At 45.0% G+C, this 22,616-nt stretch overlaps 1 protein-coding gene and 1 long non-coding RNA gene across 3 annotated transcripts in view, besides 1 other annotated feature; one reads left to right on the plus strand and one right to left on the minus strand.

Annotated features, from left to right (window-relative positions):
• Positions 1-22,616, plus strand: part of PDGFRL (platelet derived growth factor receptor like) — a 66,712-nt gene that overhangs the window by 15,535 nt on the left and 28,561 nt on the right.
• Positions 433-727: a silencer, noted in NCBI's record as "tiled region #10035; K562 Repressive non-DNase unmatched - State 23:Low". NCBI's record gives its function as "represses a minimal TATA promoter and a strong SV40 promoter by Sharpr-MPRA in K562 cells {active_cell/tissue: K562}" and the evidence as "EXISTENCE:reporter gene assay evidence [ECO:0000049][PMID:27701403]".
• On the minus strand, positions 13,679-19,215 carry LOC107986919 (uncharacterized). Its single transcript, XR_001745819.2, has 2 exons — positions 19,073-19,215; positions 13,679-14,079 (listed from the first exon to the last, which is right to left on the minus strand). It is a non-coding gene; the product is annotated as an uncharacterized LOC107986919 (long non-coding RNA).

The following is a 22,616-nucleotide window of genomic DNA, read 5'->3' on the forward strand; positions in this document are numbered from 1 at the left end:
ATGTTCACAACGATTTATATTTCCACACAAACTGTGTTTTTGCAGAAATTCATCTCCCTCAAGGACATCATTATCCACTTGGTTACCCAACCAGAAGACTGGGCGGCATCCATGCCTCCTCCCTCTCCCCCACACTCTCCACATCCCATCGGTCACCAAGTTAAGCCAGTTCAGCCTTCACTTTAACATTTCAAAATTCTGAGTTTGGTGCAAAAATAATAGCTGTTCTTACCATGAAAAGTAATGATGAAAAACCACCATTGCTTTTGCGCCAACCTAATACATGACTCAGTTCCCTCTTCATAGCACTTGAGCCTTCTTCCAGGAATGGGAATCTGTCCATTTGCATTCCTGGAGTCACTGTCCCCTGTCTGAGGCGCTCTTCTCTCCCATCTCTGATACTGCGGTGACCACACCTGGGCTAGGGCTTCTCACTGCCGCTGGAGCAACACTTAAAAGTCAGAGTTCAGCGTGTGGCTTCCCTGCTCACCACTCGGTGGATGCCCTTGGGGATAAAGTCCAGCATCCTCATATGGCAGTGAAGCCCTCGCTGACCTCTGCCGTCCTCTGGAGTCACCTCTAATCTCGATCAGACACTCTGCTTTCGCTGCCCTGGGCTCCTGTGAGATTCTCAAAAGCGCCAGGCTCCTGGGGACTTCGAGTTTGCTCTTTCATAGCCAGGAACACTCTTGGGCCCCTCAGTACCGGGCTAACCTCAGGCATCACTGTCTCTGGGAAACCCATGGCAGGCCCCCCCAGCTATGTGTTCCCACAGCACTTGCTGTTTCCTCTTCCCAGCTCTCTTCACACTGAAAACTACTATTATTTTCTTTCAACATCTTTGTTTTTCACTGAGACTTAGCTGAGTGGTTGGCGGTTAGCTTTCTCTATTAATGTTTGACTGACAAGCCTCCCTGATACATTTGTCCTTCTTAAACCCACATACATGCACACACACACACACACACACACACACACACACACTACTCTACACACACACCTTGAGAGTAAATAAAAATAGACGTATAAGTGATATTAAACTGTCTACTTATCTCTCTTATCCTGTTGTATTAAGACATCTTTCACATTTTTATTCTGACTCTACCCTCTAGCATTGTGGATATAACAGGATAGAGTCCTTCTTAAAGGTGAGTGGGCTGGATGTGGATTGGAGAGGGAGAAAGTGAATCCGTTCTTCCTGTTTCCCTTTCCACACTTGAAGTGCGTAAGGGGGAACGTATGGATATTCTGCTTGGAAGAAATCTGGAAAGGCTTACCACTATATATATTTATGTACAGTAAAAAACATATAACATAGGTTTATCCTCTTAATGATTTTGAAGGCCAGGCATGATGACTCACACCTGTAATCCCAGCACTTTGGGAGGCCAAGGTGGGCGGATCACTTGAACCCAGGAGTTCAAGACCAGCTTGGGCAACATGATGAAACCATCTCTACTAAAAATACGGAAAAAAAAAATTTAACCTGGCTTTGTAGTGCATTCCTGTAGTCCCAGCTACTTGGGAGGCTAAGAGGGTGGGATCACCTGAGCCCAGGAAGTCAACGCTGCAGTGAGCCGTGATCATACCACTATATTCCAACCTGGGCAACAGGAGTGAGACTGTTTCAAAAAAAAAAAAAAAATTCTTGGCATAGTGACTCATGCCTGTAATCCCAGCACTTTGGGAGGCTGAGGCGGGCGGATCACCGGAGGTCAGGAGTTCGAGACCAGCCTGACCAACACAGCGAAACCCCGTCTCTACTAAAAATACAAAATTAGCTGGGCATGGTACATGACTGTAATTCCAGCTAGGGAGGCTGAGGCAGGAGAATCGCTTGAACCTGGGAGGCGGAGGTTGTGGTGAGCCGAGATCGTGCCTTTGCACTCCAGCCTGGGCAACAAGAGTGAAACTCCATCTCAAAAAAAAAAAAGAAAAAAAAAGAAAAAATAATTTTGAAGTGTACAGTATTGTTAACTATAGGCACATGGTTGTATAATAGACCTCTAGACCGTTTTCATCTTGCATGGCCGAAACTATGTGCCCACTGAACCCCTCTCCTAGCATTCTTTCCTGGCAGTCACCTTGCTACTGGCTGTTTCTATGAGTTTGACAACTCTAGGTACCCCATATAAATGGAACATGCAGCGTATTTGTTTTTTTTGTTACTGACGTATTTCCCACAGCATGATGTCCTCAAAGTTCTTTGATGTTGCAGCCTATGACGTGGTTTCCTCTTTGTTTAAGGCTGAGTAATATTATATTAAATGTATATATTACATTTTATTTTTGAGACGGAGTCTTGCTCTGTCACCCAGGCTGGAGTGCAGTGGGGGGATCTCGGCTCAGTACAGCTTCCGCCTCCCAGGTTCAAGCGATTCTCCTGCCTCAGCCTCCCAACTAGCTGGAATTACAGGCACACACCACCACACTCAGCTAATTTTTGTATCTTCTATAGAGACAGGGTTTCACTATGATGGCCAGGCTGGTCTTGAATTCCTGACCTCAACTGATCTGTCTGCCTCAGCCTCCTGTAAGTGCTGGGATTCCAGGTGTAAGCCACCATGCCTGGCCTATACTACATTTATTTTGTTTGTTTTGTTTTGAGATGGAGTCTTGCTCTGTCACCCAGGCTGGAGTGCAGTGGTGCGATCTCAGCTCACGGCAACCTCCGCCTCCCGGGTTCAAGCGATTCTCCTGCCTCAGCCTCTGGAGTAGCTGGGATTACAGGCACGTGCCACCATGCCTGGCTAATTTTTGTATTTTTAGTAGAGACAGGGTTTCACCGTGGTCTCGATCTCCTGACCTCATGATCCACCCACCTCGGCCTCCCAAAGTGCTGGGATTACAGGCGTGAGCCACTGTGCCTGGCCTAGACTACATTTTTGTAATCCATCATCCAGCGATAGGCATTTAGGCTCCTTCCACCTTCTGGCTGTTGTGAATGCTGCAGTGAACATGGATGTGCATATATTTCTTTGAGATTCTGCTTTTAATTCTTTTGGATGTATACCCGCAAGTGGGATTTACCACGTACATTTTTTTTTTTTCCTGATGTACATCCTGATGTTGATTTTACTGTTTGTGTTTTGAATACACAAGCCGGGTCAGGAGCAGTGAGATTTGCCAGCACTCAGGGCCCTATGGGTCTTGGGCCAGCTCTGGATGGAGGGACAGCCCCACATGCCCAGAGCAAGGCCCCCCATTAAGGGACTGCAGCCACCTCCAGGGACTCCGCCCTCCACTCACCTGCTCCCAAATGCCAGAGGGAGCCTCCTTGCCCTCCCTCCCTGCCCACCATCCCCTCAACCATTAGCCTGGCGTTCAAAGCCTTTCCAAGTTCCACTTGAGTTTTCCTGCTCCCAAAGGTGCCCAGGGTCTGGGCAGGCCCAGCTCATATCCCTGATGGTGGCACATTCTCTGGAGGACCCTCCTGTTCTCGGGTAGGGGCCATGCCCCACCTAGGTAGCCGCCCTATTTTGGATCCCGTAGGATCTCTAAAACCCAGCTCTGGCCCCAACTTTCTGTCTGGCCTGGAGGTTTCTCAGCCTCCTGAGAACTCTCCTGGGCCCTGGTCTGGGCAGAACCTGGACCTAAACAAACAAGAGCCAGGGCAGCCAGGGTCTCTGCGTGGCTGAGCCCAGGGCTTGACCTCAGAGCTCCCCTGTCCAACAGGAGAGGAGTGTGCCTCCACCTTCCCTACTACCCGCCCCTTTTTCAGGGTCTCAGGGCCTCTAGCCCTGTGGTGGGGCGGGGGTGCTGGGTACCCCAGGTAGAGCTAAGGTTATGGGGCTGTTGAGGAGTTGGCGTCCACCTGGAGTCTGTCCAGTGAGTTTAGGTCAACAGGTGTGCAGCCTGCCCTTCGAGGCTGAGCCACCTCCCAACAGCCTGTACAACTCGAGGGGCCTTTTGAGGGAGGGGCAGGCAGGCCCAATGGGTAGTCAACCCAAGGTGAACCCACCCACCATGGCCAGGGTTCCTCAGGTTGAGCCTCCAGTGGGTGAAACCTGGGAGTCCTCAACCTTACTGGCAGATGGGGCCGTTGACAAGAGGAGGTGGGTGGGGCCTCCACAGACTCCGCCCTGTGGTATCACACAGCTGGCAGCCAATGGGAAGCAACCAGCCAGGAAGCCCCAGAGTTACCCTTGCTGGGTACCCTTGCTGGGGGACCTGGGCCATCCCAGTTTGTGAGAAGTGGCCGGAGGCAGTTAGGAGCCCACATTCAATCCAAGGCCGTCCACTGAGCCCCGTGTGACTCTGACCGGGCTGGGGGTGTCCATGTCCTCTCTGGACCTCAGTTCCTGTAAAATGGCCCACTGGCCAGATCGGCTGCCAGGCTGCTCACAGGCACATGGGCTGCACGTAACTCCGTGGGAAGAAGCCAACGCGCCCGCAGGACCGGCCCTGCCTCCAATACCACGTACATTTTAAACGACCTTATTCACCAAAGTCAGATTCATGCACTTTTTATAAAAAAACAGAATTGATATAATTTAAATTATTCTGAACATTTAGTCTTTGACTTCCTACACAAAGCATCTTAAGCTTAGAGGATTCCATGCTTGAAGTTTTAGTATTTTCTAAGAGTATTTTCAAATATATCTAAATTATATATTAAAATGCATTTGAAAACATTTTAAAGACTCTAAAGTGAGCGTTAATCTGAAGAGAAATATTCAGCATGTGAAAAAACAAATTTTGACTCTTTGAATAGTGTTCATTCGAAGCACAGCAAGAGCCTTAGAAGAAAGTAATGACAGATGTGGGCTTCCAAAAACTTATGAAACATTGTGAAAAAATGTGAAAAACATCTAGTCATAGCTATATCAACCACAGATGTGCTATTTGCCCTCAAGGGGGCACGATGTATTTCACACCAGAGATTCAAGAAACGGACTCTTGACATCGTTCCCAGAACGTGGTGCCTTTGGATAGAGAAGTATTCATTCTGTGTTTTCTTTTTTCCGTAGAATGAGTTCTTTCCAGGGCTATGACAGTGTTGGGTTTGGAAGCTCCCCAGGTGTTCATCCAACAAAGCCTTGTAGTTTTTTTTGTTTTTTGTTTTTGTTTTTTGGCAAAGTCTTGCTCTGTCGCCTAGGTTGGCGTGCAGTGGCACGATCTCAGCTCACTGCAACCTCTACCTCTCATGTTCAAGCAATTCTAGTGCCTCAGCCTCCCGAGTAGCTGATACTACAGGTATCTGCCGCCACACCTGGCTAATTTTTGTATTTTAAGTAGAGACTGGCTTTCGGTAAGTTGGCCAGGCTGGTCTACACCTCTTGGCCTCAAGTGATCCGTCCACCTTGGCCTCTCAAAGTCCTGAGATTTCAGGCATGAGCCTCCTCGTCCAGCCAAGCCTTGTAGTTATAACCAATATTGTTGGCTTTCTGGAAGCACGACCACATTTATCCGAATGTAATCTTCTGACTGCTTCATCTTTTCCTACTAAATTGTGAAATGTTCTTGACACTCACCTACAAAAGCAGGCCAACAGAGAGAGCAATTAATGAAGAAGAAGGAGATCTAATGAACTTTAGAGCTCTAGGAAGTAAAATGCCCAAGTAGAGAAAAATGCAATATACATTTTTTTTTCCCAAAGTGCTGGGAATGTCACAGTTGCTTACTAAATACTTCAATGAATTGATGTATCTGGCTTTATTCATCAGTGATTTTGGTAAATGATTAAAACACAATATGAAGAAAACATTCATGGCACCCAAATATAATTTGGCATCTCTCTAGGATTGGAGGATGCAGAAATCCATCTCTTCTTACGGATTTTTCACAGTGGTGTTTTAGCAAGGATGCTGCCTCAGTTTCTTAGCCTGTAAAACAAGATGGTCTCTAAGGACCCACTCAACTATGAATTTGGGATTTGGGAATTTGTTTAAAGCAATATTTCAGTAAGTTAATGTGTTGTAACCTGCAGTGATTTCATATGGATTTTTATGTAGATCTCCTTATGATTTTGATGACAATATGGTATTCCATCAATGTTATATAGCATTGTGTTCTTACCTAGTTCCCAGCTTGTGGCTTTTTGAGTTTTTACTATCATAAATAGTGCATTTATAAACATTATTATATAAATAACTTGATCTCATGGTTCATATGTGTAACACAGAGAAAGCATTCAATTTACTCAATAAGGATAAATGTCTTATCCTATATGTTTCCTGCAGTGAGAATAAAGACAAAGAATGTTGTGGAACAGAGAAGCCAGAGGCTGAGGCACAGCTAGATTTGAATCTTCCGTTTATTACTAACCAGCAAAGTGGTGTGTGATCAGTAGTTTCCCTAGAACCCAGTTGCCTTATCTGGAATGTGAATATATTATTGCTTATTTGTTTATTTAATTGATTACTTCTTTATAATCTGGGATCTGTGTCCTTCTTCCCTCCTGAAAGAATAAACCCCTTGAGGGCAAATAACACATCTGTGGTTTATCATCAGATTCCTAGCACCTAGAACAATGTCTGACACATACCAGAGCTCAGGAAGTATGTTTTGGCTTCCACAGGGGTTTAGGCCGCATGTCAGAAGTCAGTTCTTAGTCATTCATTCATTCAGTATTTAAAGATAATTACTGAGTACTGATGTGTACACTGCATGTATTGGGAGGTAGGTCAGCTAGGCAAACAACAAAGTATTAATGTATTTCATATCTATGGTGCTGTGTCACCTGGATCCATCCCCATTGTCTCAGAGCCTGATATGGTTTGGCTGTTTCCCCTCCAAAATCTCATCTTGAATTATAGCTCCTGTAATTCCCACATGTTGTGGGAGGGGCCCAGTGGGAGATAATTGAATCATAAGGGCAGTTCCCCCATACTGTTCTCATGGTAGTTAATACGTCTCACGAGATCACATGGTTTTCTAAGGGGAAACCCATTTCTCTTGGTGCTCATTCTCTCTTGCCAGCTACCACGTAAGACATCCCTTGCTCTTCCACCAGGATTGTGAGACCTCCCCAGCCACGTGGAACTGTGAATCCATTCAACTTCTTTCCTTTATACATTACTCAGTCTCAGGTATGTCTTTATTAGCAATGTGAGAACAGACTAATACAGAACCTATTGTTACTTGACCTCATAGAGCCGTTAGTCCATTGACTCTCCCTTCTCCCTCTTTATCCACATTGCACCTTTATGTCTTTACTTCTCTCTCTCTTTTAAAATTTTATTTTTCCATAAATTATTGAGGTACAGGTGGCATTTGGTTACATACGTTCTTTAGTGTGAGCCATCAGATCCTGGTGCACCCGTCGTCACCCAAGCAGTATACACTGCACCATATTTGCATATTTGTTATCTTTTATCCCTCACTGCCCCAAACTCTTCCCCCCAAGTCCCTAAAGTCCATTGTATCATTCTTACGCCTTTGTGTCCTCACAGCTTAGCTCCCACATATCGGTGAGAACTTATGATGTTTTCTATTCCTGAGTTACTTTACTTAGAATAATAGTCTCCAATTCTGGGCTCTGTCATTTCTACTGAACTCTTGAATATGTCCTAAGTTCCTTTGCTCTCTGTTCTTCCTTCATTTCCACTTGGAAACTTGCGACCCTAAATGACCCTGTTCATCTACTTTCTCTTGTCTGCACATGGACCCTGAGGACTGCTGGAAGGAGCCGTACAGCTCGCCACGTGGCCGTGGCTGCCAGTAGATGTGGCCACCTCACGTTTGCTTGGCAAAATCAATACATTTCTCTAGAAAGGTCACTTTTTCTCTCTTCTTAAACCTCTCATCTTCATCTCTCTGACTTTCAGCTAATGAAATTATCCCCTAACTTATTAAGAAATTGGAGCTCTAATCACCTTAAGTTTCTCTGATCATATGTCCTCCTTCCCTGATCTACCAGTGACGGGAAGAAGGATGAGGATTTTCCCTCCTAAGGCCAAAGCACTATCCGTGCCCTGGATCTCATCTCTACCTACTTTCCCAGGAACTTCAATACATCACTTACTGCCTCTTCATTCTGGATCATCAACATCTCCTTGAAAAGGATTTATGGGTCCTTTTCATCAATATTCACCAAATTAAGAAATTCTGCCTTGACCCCCATGCACCCTGCAGCCATCTTCCTCTCTGATAACCTTCACACCCAGTTCCCTGGGAGGAGTCTCTGTCCTCATTGTATTCACTTTTTTTCTTTTTCCTATTCATTCTTCAATAACTCTACCTGGCTCCTGGCCCCATTACTCCACATGCATTTTTTCACCAAGGTCAACAAGGGCACTAAATCCAGAGTTCGCTTTTCCATGCCTTGAGATTTCCTGCACCAACTCCATTTAGCTGAGTGAAGCATCGTGTCTTGGCCTTTGCAGTCCTGTGTCCTTCTGGTTTTCTCTCTGTCTCACAGCCCTTCTGGAGTCCTCTTCACCAGCTCTGAATCCTCCACTCTTCCAGACATTGAATGTTGGTTCTATACACTCCTCTCTACTTGCTGGCGAATGCCCTCGATTTGTCCTATATTACATTAAACGTTTCTTCTGAGCTCCAGACTGAGCTACCTAGCTGCCTGCTCACAATATCTGCTTGGATCTTTCATGAGCTTTTATTTACGCTGAACCATCTATCCTAGCAACAGGGGAGGCCAAGATGGGAGGATCACTTGAGGCCAGGACTTTGAGACCAGCCTGAGCAACACAGCAAGACCCCCATCTCTAAAAAAAAAATTGTTTTAAATTACAGGTGTGGTGGTACATGCCTGTAGTTGCAGCTACTCAGGATGCTGTGGTGAGAAGATCACTTGGGCCCAGGAGTTTGAGGCTGTAGTGAACTATGATCTGTGACTGTGCTCCAGCCTGGGCAACAGAGCAAGACCCCATCTCTAAAAAAAAAAAACAAAAAAACCTCTAAAAATTAGCCAGGCATAGTAGTGCACCCCTGTAGTCCCAGCTACTTGGGAGGCTCGGATGGTAAGATAGTTTGGGCCCAGGAGCTCAAGACTGCAGTGAGCTATGATTGTGCCAGTGCTCTCCAGCCTGGGAGACAGAGCAAGGCCCATCTCTAAAGAAATAATAAACAAACTGAGCTCATGATCTTTCTCCACACCTGGTCATCCTCCTGTGTCCTTCAGTTCAGAGAATGGCACTAATTCCATCCAGTTGCTCTTGACCAGAGGCCCGGGAATCACTTGAAAACCACTTTCGTTATTCACTCCCGCATCCAACCAATGATGCTACTATCTAAGCATTTCTTGAATTGTCCCACTTCTTCCTATCACAACAGCAGTGACTGTAGTCTCTAACCTTAGAGGGTGTCTGTTTATTCCCTGATGTTTTCCTCACACCCAGCACAGTCTCCAGCATGCCCCAGGTCCTCCATATGTATTTCTATGAATGAATGGTGCCAGAGGCACTGAGCCTGCAGGGGATCTAAAGTCAGGCCCCTGAGATCATGTGACCTGAGACTCTGGGAGCAAGCTCAAAGAACTTTAGACCTGAAAGGGACCTTCTGATTGTTAACTTATACCCCCGTTTTTGTTTTTTTTTTTTTCCTCTTTCTAACTTTTAGGTTGAGCGTGTATATGTGCAGGTTTGTTACGTGGGTAAATTGCATGTCACGAGGGTTTGGTGTAGATTATTTCATTATCCAGGTAATAAGCTTAGTACCCGATAGGTAGTTTCTCAGTCCTCACCCTCTTCCCACCCTCCACCTTCAAGTGGGCCCCTGTGTCTATAATTCCTGTCTTTGTGTCGAGGTGTACTGAATGGTTAGCTCCCCTTTAAAAGTGAGAGCATGTGGTATTTAGTCTTCAGTTCCTGTGTTGGTTTACTTAGGATAATGGCCTCCAGCTGCATCCATGTTGCTGCAAAGGACATGATTTCATTCTTTTTTATGGTTGTGTAGTATTCCATGGTGTGTATGTACCACATTTTCTTTATGCAGTCTACTATTGATGGGCATCTAGGTTGATTCCTTGTCTTTGCTCTTGTGACTAGTGCTGCATGAACATAGGAATTCTTGTGCCTTTGTGGTAGAACTATCTATATTCCTTTGGATACATACTTGGTAATGGGATTGCTGGCCCACATGGTAGCTCTAAGTTCTTCAAGAAATATCCAAACTGCTTTGCACAGTGGCTGAATGAATCCACATTCCCACCTGCAGTATGTAAACTTCCCCTTTCCTCCATGACCTTGACGGCATCTGTTATTTTTGGCTTTGGTTACTAGCAGTTCTGACCGGTGTGAGAGGGTATCTCATTGTGGATTTGGTTTGGATTTCTTTAATGATTAGTATGTTGGGCATATTGGCCATGTGTATGTCTTCGAGGAAGCCCCACTTTTTGACAGATAAGGGAACTGAGAGTCATAGAGGAGATGTGGCTGGTCAGAGGGACAAGCTGGCAAGTGGCTGCATGAGTCCCAGAACTTGGGAGCCCTAGTTCCTGAGGCAGAGCGGCTGCCCCACTTCAGAGCTCTGTGGTATGTGTGTTGAGATAAATTCAGATCACAGTACACTCTCGGTCTGATGGAGGTAGCTTCAGGCAAGAGAGAGTAATCATCGAATTTTTTTTTAAAGCTGTAGACTAAACTAACCTGATTTCTAAAGATTCAAAACAGAAATGAAAAGCAGATACCCAGAATGAGGCATTGATTTTTCTTGGTGGAATAGCTTTGCGTGGAAAGTGGTTGAAATTCCACATTGATTTAGGGTAGCTCTTTGGATGCCAGAGTGTGAAAACCTGATACTGGGCTATTTGGAAAGGAGAGCTCTGTTGGAAGAGCGTAACTGCAGGATGCTCTTGGAGTTCTGGTCTACTCTGCGATGCTTGTTTGCAAAACCCTGTCATGAGAAGGTCCACTAGATGGCAGGTTTCAGCTGTGCTACAACTGGCTTCCTATCACCAGTAAATGAAGAAACATTCCAAATGAGAACTGAGTGGATACAATATGTGCCCACTTATACCTATGGTCCTTTCAGCCTTTCAGGCTACGTAGTGGTCACAGTTTCAAGTTGTATTTTAAACAGTATAGAATTCATTTTACAAACAAATTTTATTTTATTTTTATTTATTTATTTTTGGAGACAGAGTCTTCTTTCTTGCCCAGCCTGGAGTGCAGTGGCACGATCTCAGCTTACTGCAACCTCTGCCTCCTGGGTTCAGGTGACTCTCATGCCTCAGCCTCTCAAGTAGCTGAGGTTACAGGCGTGCGCCACCAAGCTTGGCTAATTTTTTGTGTTTTTAGTAGAGACGGGGTTTTGCGATGTTGGCCAGGCTTGTGTTGAACTGTTGACCTCAAGTGATCCACCCACCACCTGGGCCTCGCTAAGTGCTGGGATTACAAGCATGAGCCACCACGCCCAGCCCAACAAACACATTTTTTAAAAAGGGAGCAGACATTTGTAAGTGTATGTACCCACACAGGGACAAATTTATTCATGCCCCTGTCCCCTGCTGGGTCTTTCAGGAGCAGTGGCCCCCTTGAACAGTGTAGTTGATCCCTTCGAGGCTAATATAAACTTGCTGATGACTGTATTTTCAGGTGCTGAAATTGATTCAGGTTTTACCTCCAGACTCAGTCCATCCCAGATCCCATAAACATCTCCTGTCTTTGAGATCGGAAATAGCAAAGGTACTGTTTCTGACAACAGTAGTTATCATTTGTCGAACACTCTGTTTCTTGACTCCTCTGCCCTGTTCCTTTCTTCCCACTGTTTTATCATAAGCATCTACTATGTTTGTGGTCTCTGCTAGGCAGATGATGGAGATAAGATGGTGAGCAAAATAGATAAAATCTCTATATCCCATAGATCTTTTAATCTTAGGGAAGACAATTAAATAAGCAATTTTAATAAAATATTAAAGTCTGTTAGCAAGTGCCTTGCTAACCGAAGTATGCTGTCAAGGAGGAGGAAACTCAAGCTCATATTTGAAAGTTCCCTGGGTAAGGAAGGGCATAGCAAGATATAAGGAAATTCCAGAAAGAGAGAAGTGTTTGAAGGAAGTACCTAGAAGTGGGAAAGAGTATAAAACTTGGAGCATGAAGGGCAGGTGGGTAAGATGTGGCGGTCAGAGGCGAGGGAGTGGGAAGGAGGTTAGGAGGAGAGATGATGATGGGAGGTGAGGCAGACCATGGAGGGCCTTGTTGGCCACATTAAGAAATTTAGAGTGCTGGAGAGGATGTGGAGTAATAGGAACACTTTTACACTGTTGGTGGGACTGTAAACTAGTTCAACCATTGTGGAAGTCAGTGTGGCGATTCCTCAGGGATCTAGAACTAGAAATACCATTTGACCCAGCCATCCCATTACTGGGTATATACCCAAAGAGTTATAAATCATGCTGCTATAAAGACACATGCACACGTATGTTTATAGCGGCACTATTCACAATAGCAAAGACTTGGAACCAACCTAAATATCCAACAGCGATAGACTGGATTAAGAAAATGTGGCACATATACACCATGGAATACTATGCAGCCATGAAAAATGATGAGTTCATGTCCTTTGTAGGGACATGGATGAAGCTGGAAACCATCATTCTCAGCAAACTGTCGTAAGGACAAAAAACCAAACACTGCATGTTCTCACTCATAGGTAGGAATTGAACAACGAGAATGCATGGACACAGGAAGGGGAACTTCACATACCGGGGACTGTTGTGGGGTGGGGGGATGGGAGAGGGATAGCATTAGGAGATATACCTAATGCTAAATGACGAGTTAATGGGTGCAGCATACCAGCATGGCACATGTATACATATGTAACAAACCTGCACGTCATGCACATGTACTCTAAAACTTAAAGTATAATAATAATAAAATTTAAAAAAAATTTAGAGCAAAATTTAGGGCAATTATGAGTCGAGGATTTAAAGCCTTTCTAAATATGTATACAAAGAAAATGCATGGCTGGGCATGGTGGCTCACGCCTGTAATTCCAGCCCTTTGGGAGGCTGAGGCGGGTGAATCACTTGAGCTCAGGAGTTTGAGACCAGCTTGGGCAACATGGCAAGACCCCATCTCTACGAAAAAAGATACACAAATTAGCAGAGCATGGTGGCGTGTGCCTATAGTCGTAGCTACCTGGGAGGCTGAGGTGGGAGGATTGCTTGACTCTGGGAGGTGGAGGCTGCAGTGAGCTGAGATCATGCCACTGCGCTCCAGCTTGGGCAACAGAGTGAGACTCTGTCCCAGAAAGAATGAAAGAAGGGAGAGAGAGAGACAGGGAGAGGGAAGGAAGGAGGGAGAGAGACTGAAAGAAGATGCTGAGTAATATAAACCGCATTGTGAGGGTTAGCCGTCCTCATTGCCTTCAGAAGAAAGACAATGTCTCTTCCTGTGTCAGTTGCCTCCATCCTTCCTCCCCATGCCCCATACCCATTTCACTCCAACTGGGGTCTTTAGATGTGTTCTTGGACCTCATGCTTTTTTGCAATAATTTTTTAAATTTTTTCTTGCATTTTGTTGATAATATTAAAAACTTTGTGTAAGAATATTCTGGATTATCTGAATAACCCCTGCTGGGAGATCAACGTGACCCATTTGCATCTTCTCTGCACACATTTTGTTTCTTGAATCTCATCATAACACACTTCCAGGGTGTAAAGCCAGAGAATTCTTGGCACCGCGCTGAGCCAGGGAAGAAAATGAGATGAAACGGAGAATAAGTGGGTCTGGACGAAGGCTTAAATATAACCAATCAATGCTGGTAGGAACAAGGAGACGTTGGAGATTTCAGCTATGTTGTCAGCAACATCACAGCAGTAAAAACAAGATAGGCTGATGTGGTAATAAGCCCTGGTCCTGCTCCCTAGGAAATAAGAGTCCAGGCATTGTCTTTCAGGATGTTTTTCTGGTATCTGGTCGGATGTTAGCATTTTTTCAGTCAAAAACTGGGAGTTGGGAGGAGTGCGTGGGGCACAGGAGATCTCTTTGATGGCTGGCTCCTCGGAAAACAATAAATAGCTTTTAGAGAGAAGGGAGGGCATCGGGCTTTTCATTTGGCCACGGTTGGCAACAGCTTACTCCACCCACAGACAACACAAAGGGAGGGTGGGCCGATGGAGCAGAGAGTGGGCTCCCAGCCAGGCTCATCATGTCATCCAGCATCTGGAGGGAGAGTCTGGAAGACATTTTAAAAGAAAAGGAGAAATATCTTAAGTGGTTATCAACAGAAGAATCCCACCATTGAGAAAGAATCTGCACAGACTTTGGTAAATGTTGTGGAGAGTACTCTGGTGTTATGCTGAGTAAGGTATTTTTTTTCAAATAATTTATATTTTTCGAAAATACACAGAACGTACAATTTACCATATTAACCATTTTTAAGGAGATAGTTCAGTACACTTAAGTGCATTCATATCATTATGTGAGTGTCTTTTGTATGCGAACTCACTTTCCTCCAAAGCTCGTTTTATTTTATTTTCTGAGCAGAACAAATGAAGATGAGGAGGCTCTCACTTTGCCTTCATTCTTATCTGGAGCATGGGTCCAATTGGGGTCTAATTTGCAGTGGCCAGTCAAAAGGAAACGCCACCCCCAAACTCTAATACTTGCCTTCAAATGGTCTTCCACCCCAGAAATGACAAATAGGTGACCTAACCAATGCTGAAGGTAGAGCGTTCTCTTTCCAGACTCACTGGCACCAGCTGCAGGCCCTCCGTATTTCCCCAGAGATGGGTGGGTGGAGGCTGCAGGATACAAGACTTCCCCCAGTGTACTCAATGTTCTGAGAGCGTTCAGCTTGCAGAAAAACACAGCTATGTTCCGTTCAGGACAAGGGTGGGGGGCAGGTAATAATAGAACGAGGCTCATTGTGCTGTTCTCAGGATAGAATGAGGTCATGCGTGTAAACCTCTTGGCACACATAGTAAGCCACCTAAATATCGGTGAGCTATTTCTGTTCACCATACTGTACCCAAAGGAGGTAAATCATAAGAAACAGCCAGTTTTTCGTTTTTTGTTTTTTTGTTTTTTTTTTTTTTTTTTTGAGACGGAGTCTTGCTCTGTCACCCAGGCTGGAGTGCAGTGGTGCAATCTGGGCTCACTGCAACCTCCACCTCCCAGGTTCAAGCAATTCTCCTGCCTCAGGCTCCTGAGTAGCTGGGATTACAGGTGCATGCCACCATGCCCTGCTAATTTTTGTATTTTGATTGGAAATGGGGTTTCCTCATGTTGGCCAGGCTGGTCTCAAACTCCTGACCTCAAGTGATCCACCTGCCTTGGCCTGCGAGTTTCGTTTTAAGAAACGTTTTAGACGTGTGTCTCAATCCCCTACAAACTCTTTGTGTCCATAGCACTGTGGAGGGCTCACTGATGCTCATACTAATGGTCCCAAGGTTCTCTAGATCACCCATTGCTCGTCGATCTAGTCATTAGAGTAGGGGAAATTGGTTGAAGCACGTTCTATAGTTTTGGGGAAAACGTCTTCTGCTAACTCTTACTTAAAAATAATGTTTCTACCTACACCAAATATGTATTTAAAAAAACAACAAAAAAAGTTTCTTTCAACAAAACATTTCATTTCTTGAGCATTTCTGGTAAGTCTAGGATTGATTATCCCAGATGTGTTGCACAGAATTAAAATACAGTAAGAAAATGACAATACAGTCAAGCTAGTGCGTTAAACCAAAGACACTGTAGGAATATCACCAACTATGTTAGATGATAATTTTGGGGCATCTTGCAAGATGGAGCATTGTTTATAGTACCAGTGATTGCATGTATTTTATGAGTGAAATGTTGCTTTAACAAGTAAGTATACATGTGGGTGACGTCTGGGATTTAATGCTCAAATGTAAACACTGGTGTGTTAGTAGCATGATTTTTGGCCAAGTATTTGAATATAGAAGATGTAAATAAAACAGCTTTGAAAGATATGTCAAAGGAGGGAGCAAGAAAAGAGGAATAAAGGATAAGATGTAAAATGGGAAATTTTATGTCCACTAGTGTATAATTGTGTAGAATGGCACATTTATAAAAAAGCAAAACGAAGATGTCAGAGGTTTGCCTCCAGTGTCCGGGCTTGGCTGCCTTGGCGGCTCCGTCCCACCCACACAGCCGGCTGCAGGTGGGCAGCTGCTAAGTTGCTGCCCTGGGGAGTCCGCCCAGAACCTTCTCTTGTCACTTCCCGTCCTGCATTCCCAACTTGTCCACTCTGTCCTGGGGCCTCAGGGGCCTGTCTCCTGCCTCGCTTGGTGCCTTCCTGCTCAAAGACTTTGCTTGGATTGCCTTTGGGAGTTCATCCTGATTTGCCCCTGGTCTCTGCCTTTCAGACCACATCCTACTGTCCAAAGCACTCCTCTCTCTCCATCCCACTGCCTAGATCCCAGATGAGATCTGGTGTCTCAGTTACATTGGAGCAGAGGTCAGAAAGCACCAGCTCACCCTTCCCTGTAACAGCACTGTTGTTTGTGAACTTGACTTCATAGCTGGGAAAAGGTAGGGGGTTGGGGGCCCTGTGAGTCAACCAACATTGATACAAGTGAATCAATGTTGAACGTGCCCTCATGCGTTTATTTACCCAGGTGGCTCGTGCATTGGCACAATATATCACATCAGCTGGTAGGCATCCTGGGGAAGGAGGCAGAGGGAGGCACTGTCCCATACAAGAGCCGGAGGGGTGACCAGAGCGAGTGTGTCACAGCCTTCAGTTCAGTGTTGGTCTGCTGAGGAGAATGCACGCTAAATAGCATTAACGTTTGCTTAATGTATATATAAAGGCAGTCTACTAAGTCAGAATGCTTATGAGGGGGGAAAAAAGACAGAAATAGTCCCAACGACAAGCAGCTTAAGAACTAGTGAGATAAAAGACAAACCAGATACAAGGACAGAGCAACAGAAGACAGTGTGTGGTCAAGTGTGAGTGTGGAGCGGCTGATAGGAAGGAGAGAAGGCAGCTGTGAGCAGGCGTTGGTGAGGCAAATGGAATCATTGTGTAAGTGATGACCTGATTGTTGGAGACCAGGCCTTGAAGATAAGATAGAGACTTGTACAAAGCAGAGCCAAGGAGGGGCCAGGCAAGGCAGCTCATGCCTGTAATCCCAGCACTTTGGCAGACTGAGGCAGGAGGATCACTTGAGCCCGGGAGTTTGAGACCAGCCTGAGCAAAATAGTGAGACCCCATCTCTTAAAAACAAACAAAAAGTTTTAGCTGGATATAGTGCTACACCCTGTGGTCCTGGCTGCTTGGGAGGCTGGGGTGGGTGGTTGAGGCTACAGTGAGCCATGGTCACACTGCTGCACTCCAGCCTGGGTGACAGAGCAAGACTGTCTCAAATAGTGATAATAAAATAGGAGCCAGCTGGGCACAGTGGCTCATTCCTGTAATGCCACCACTTTGGGTGGCTGAGGCTGGTGGATCACCTGAGTTTGGGAATTCAAGACCAGCCTGGCCAACATGATGAAACCCTATGTCTACTAAAAATACAAAATTTAGCCAGGTGTGGTAGTGGGCACCTGTAGTCCCAGTTACTTGGGAGGCGCAGGTTGCAGTGAGCTGAGATTGCACCACTGCACTCCGACCTGGGCGACAGAGCGAGACTCTGTCTGGAAAAAAAAAAAAATTACCTGGGTGTGGTGGCGTGCACCTGTAATCCTAGCTACTCAGGAGGCTAAAGCAGGAGAATCGCTTGAACCTGGGAGGTGGAGGTTGCAGTGAGCTGAGATCACGCCACTGCACTCCAGCCTGGGTGACAGAGTGAGACTCTGTAAAAAAAAAAAAAAAAAAAAAAAAAAAAAAATAAGAGCCAAAGAGAACAGCATCAAACCTCCCCCAAAAGATTGTGATATGCAGCCAGGTTGGAGAACCACTGATGTGGCTTGAACCCTACGTTTTAAAAAGTGACTAGATTGAGCCACAGAGCCTAAGAGACTTGCTCATGTTGCACAGCTTTTAGTAAAGTAAACTCAAATCAAGCCATATTCCCAAGATCTCTGTAGTCTCTACACCAAGAAAACAGTTTGTTTATTTAGGTTTCTGATGTTACTCAGAAGATTTACCATCAAAGTGGCATTGTTATGAGCGATTACCTTGAAAACGTTGGCAGGAGGGAGATTTGGTGGATTTCCCCGCAGTGAATTCACTGTGCTGGGTGCAAATGGGTCCAGGCCCCATGGCTGTTGCATTCACTATTCTGACTTGGCCATAATACACTCACTGTGCCTGCACGCCTGCCCATTAGTAATTCACAGCTTGTTCTCCTAGCAAGGGTGGCAGAGGCTTGCTCCTTTGTCCTCTGTCCTCACTCATCTTCCAGGGCCGATTCTTCCCAAGTATGTGGCTGTGAGCGTTCAGCTGAGCAGAGCTGGGGCATGTTTTTCTGATGTTACCCACAGAGAAGTGCTGATGAGCTTCTGCTACATGGTAAGATTAGAATTGCCAGATTTATAGTAAGGGTTGGGCATCCTAATCCATAAATCCGGAATCCGAAATGCTACAAAATCTGAAACTTTTTGAGCAATATGACATTCAAAGGAAATGCTTACTGGAGCATTTCAGATTTCAGATTTTCAAATTAGGGATGCTTAACTAGTAAGTATGATGCAGATACTCCAAAATCTGAGAAAAATCTGAAGTCCAAACCCCTCTGGTTCCAAGCATTTTGGATAAGGGATTCTCAACCTGTAGTGTGAGTAACCCATATACATCTGAGTTATATGGTCACAAAGTTTGAAAGATGACCTTGTCAAATTTACATGAGAAGGGCCAGGCGCGGTGGCTCACACCTGTAATCCGAGCACTTTGGGAGGCCAAGGTGGCAGGATCCCTTGAGCTCGGGAGCTAAAGAGCAGCCTGGCCAGTATGGTGAAACCCCGTCACTACTAAACACACAAAAATTAGCCGGGCCTGGTGGCGCATGCCTATAGTCTCAGGTACTCAGGAGGCTGAGGCGGGAGATTCCCTTGAACCCAGGAGGCAGAGGTTGCAGTGAGCCGAGATCACACCACTGCACTCCAGCCTGGGGGACAGTGAGATTCCGTCTCAAAAAAAATTACACGAGAATTGATGATTTCGTTGTTATTTCCATGCATTTCTCTACATGGTGAGTGCCTATCTGGAAAGTAATCATCTGTAAATTTCCTCCAAGTCATTCATTTGGTTAGGACTTACTTACGTATTTAAAACAGTCAACTCATGTTTCTTTTGCGGTACGCAGTGGGAGGCATGCCAAACTCTCTTTTCTCAGGAGTCCCCAGGGATTTCATTCCCAGCTCTGCCTCTAGCTGGCCTTGTAACCTTGGATGAGTCAGTTCATCTCTGTAAAGTGAGACATCCAACCAGATGATCTTTAAGGTCCCTCTCAGTTCTGAAAGTACTCTTGGCACTTGTACTTAACTCACATTGGATAAAAAAGGGAGGCAAAAAGTAAGGACTCTTAGATAAGTTATTCAACCCACTTTCACTCACTGAATTCTCTTCTATTCTGTACACTGTCACCTTTAACCGTAGTTCAAGGTCACATAGCCAGTAACTGGTAGAGGCAGGATTTGAACCAAGGAAAGCTGACTCCTGAGTGCATGCTCTTAACCGCCCTTTTACAAAGGCCACTGGACATGGTCGGCCTCCTTGGGAATAGGACCCTGACGAGTAACCACGTTTTGGTCAGATAGAAGAAGAGAGCGCTTCAGAGGGAAAGAGATGCGTGGAGGGCTCAGAGGTGAAAATGAGCCGATGTGTCTGGGTTTGGTGAGGAGCTAGATGGCTAAAGACACCGGGTTACTCAGCTTAAGGGCTGGGAGAGCAAAGGAGCTGGAATACCAGGCAGAGGTGGTAACGTGCAATTCTGTGTGCAATGGGAGAAGCTAATATTTAGAACTGGAGGTAATGATAAAATGATTTTCAGGAAAGTATATCTGATACGTGATGAAAGGCATCTGAAGGGGATGGGGGAGACATTTCTCCAGAAAGACTGATTTGTCAGCTGACAGAGGAGAAATGAGAGAGTCAATGGTGATAGCAGCCTGGGTGACAGGTGGAGTTGCAGCTCGGTGGAAAGAACTAGAAATGCCGAGAGTGGGAACCAAGTAAGAAGGAAGGCTTGCTAAGATCTGGGAGCCTGGGTTAAACTCCAGGGGAGGTGGCACAGCCTCGGCAGGTCCACACAGGCAGGGGAGCAGAATGGCTAAGAAACAGCCATGCTGCACTCCAAATGATGTGTTATACTCCAGTTGGCAGTGTTTCCATTAATCAGAACAAAATAATACACAGTAGTTTTAGGCCTCTAAAGGAATTCTTGGTGGCCCTGCCTGTTGGAAATTCACATTTTAAAAAGGCAACACTTTGTAAAACTAACCTCCAGGTATTTAAATACACATGAGCCCTTGTGCTTACGCATTTATGCAGTATCTGTTTCACACTTTATAAGCAGTTTTACTTGTTTTGCTTTTATTATAGCTTTTCTTTTCTTTTCTCTCTTCCCTCTTCCTTCTTCCTTCTCCTCTCTTCTCCTCTCTTTTCTTTTTTTGAGACAGTGTCTCACTCTGTTGCCCAGGCCATAGTGCAGTGGCATGATCTCAGCTCACTGCACCTCTGCCTCCCGGGTTCAAGCTATTCTCCTGCCTCAGCCTTCTGAGTAGCTGAGATTACAAGCACCTGCCACCATACCCGGGTAATTTTTGCATTTTTAGTAGATATGTGGTTTCACCATATTGGCCAGGCTGGTCTCAAACTCCTGACCTCAGGTGATCCACCTACCTCGGCCTCCCAAAGTGCTGGGATTACAGATGTGAGCCACCACACCTGGCCCAGTTTTTCTTTTCTTATTATAAAATAACACATACTTATTTGATCTAGAAACTTAAAAACTATAAATAAGCAAAAAGGAGAAAGATCACTGAAAACCCCAAGAAACGTGGTTAACACAGTAATGTTGAATCTTCTAGTTTTGTATTTAGTATAAAAAAGGTATCAAAATCTGCAAACTCTTTAATGACTAACTTTCCCCCTAATCTGTTGTGAATATTTTTTATGTGTAAAGTTATCAAAATATTCTATCTCTTTTATGATTAACTTTTCCCGTAATCTATTGTGAATATTTTTATGTGTAAAATTATCAAAATATTCAAACTCTTTCATGATTAACTTTGCACCTAATCTACCATGAATATTTTTTGTGAGTTATGGCTGTAATACTGTAGTAGGTTTAGCTAAATCTCTTGGGTCTCTCCATCTCTTAGATCATGCCCCATTTTTTACGATCACTGTCATTGCGGTAGCTAACATCTAGGTAGCAAGGATCTCTTCCTCTGGGTGGAATTGTTGGGCGTATTTTAAGGCCTTTGTTCCAGGTGGTTGGAGGGGATTTTCTGTTGGGAGGATCGCTGGTGTGTCAGGTATGGTTTTGGTTTGTGGTGTCAAGGGGATATACGCTTCTCATTTTCTCAGAGTCTAGAGAATATCTGAAGGAGGAAGAGGAGCTTTTCCTTTGTAAAGGACCTGGATATGCTGGACAGAGGGTCAAAAAGAATGATGACCCCAGCAGGTGACAGAGGGGAAATGAAAAGGGAAGGGGGACTTCGCAGTATGGCGGGCAGAGTCCAGGCAGTGCCAAGAATAGGACCTGCAGGGGTGAGAGTGATGCCGGCAGGGCTGGAGGGATGTAGCGTGTGCAGTCTCCCGTGAAGTAGTGGGGAAGTGCTTAGGGTGACTTCTTTTTCAATAATCCAGAGAAGCCCAGGCGCAGTGGCTCATGCCTGTAATCCCAGCACTTTGGGAGGCCGAGGCAGGTGGATTGCTCAAGCTCAGGAGTTCGATGCCAGCCTGGGCAACGTAGGAAGCCCCTGTCTCTACAGAAAAATGCTAAAATTAGCCAGGCATGGTAGTGTGCACTTGTAGTCCAAGCTACTCAGAAGGCTGAGGTGGGAGGATGGTGTGAACCCCACGGAGGTCACACCACTGCCCTCCAGCCTGGGTAACAGAGTGAGACCCCATCTCAAAAAAGAAAAGCTACCTTAAAAATAATAATAAGATAATAATACAGAGGAATCTGGCATAAGTGATTGCAGTAGAGAGACCTGAGCCACATTTCACAACGTAACTGGTTGTTGAGGTGGAAATATTGTATCACATTGCAAGGATTTTGAATAGTTCCTTGGATAGTATGCAAATGTGGAGATAGATGATAGATAGATAGTAGATGGGCAACAGACAGATTGACAGATGATAGATTGATAGATGATAGATCAGTAGATGATAGGCTGATAAATGATAGATTGATTCGTAATAGATAGATTGATAGATGATAGAGGAATAGAGCTATTCCAGCCTAATTTCTGATACAAGAACTATATTCACTTTGAAGTCCTTTAGTTTGCATATTTGTTTCCCTGAGATCATCATGCATATTTTTTCTTTCTTTTTTAAAGAAACATAAACAGTGACAGTTTCAGTATGTTTTACCCAGCTGTCTGTTTCCCAGGATCTGTACTCTGTTCATATGGCACGTTTCCTGCATATCATTCAGCCATTCTTCTCTGACACGTTCTGAGACGGAGACTTACAGGAAATACAGGCCCTGTGTAAACACTTGAAACACAGACAAGCAAATACCCACGAGTCTTTATCGCTCTTGATTCTTGGCACAGTTCCTTGCATGTGGTAGAGGCCTAACAGTTTTTCACATGAATGTAGAATAAGGAGGATATTTATGTTTTAATTTT

Source organism: Homo sapiens, chromosome 8, assembly GCF_000001405.40.
Source record: "Homo sapiens chromosome 8, GRCh38.p14 Primary Assembly".
Lineage (NCBI taxonomy): Eukaryota > Metazoa > Chordata > Mammalia > Primates > Hominidae > Homo > Homo sapiens.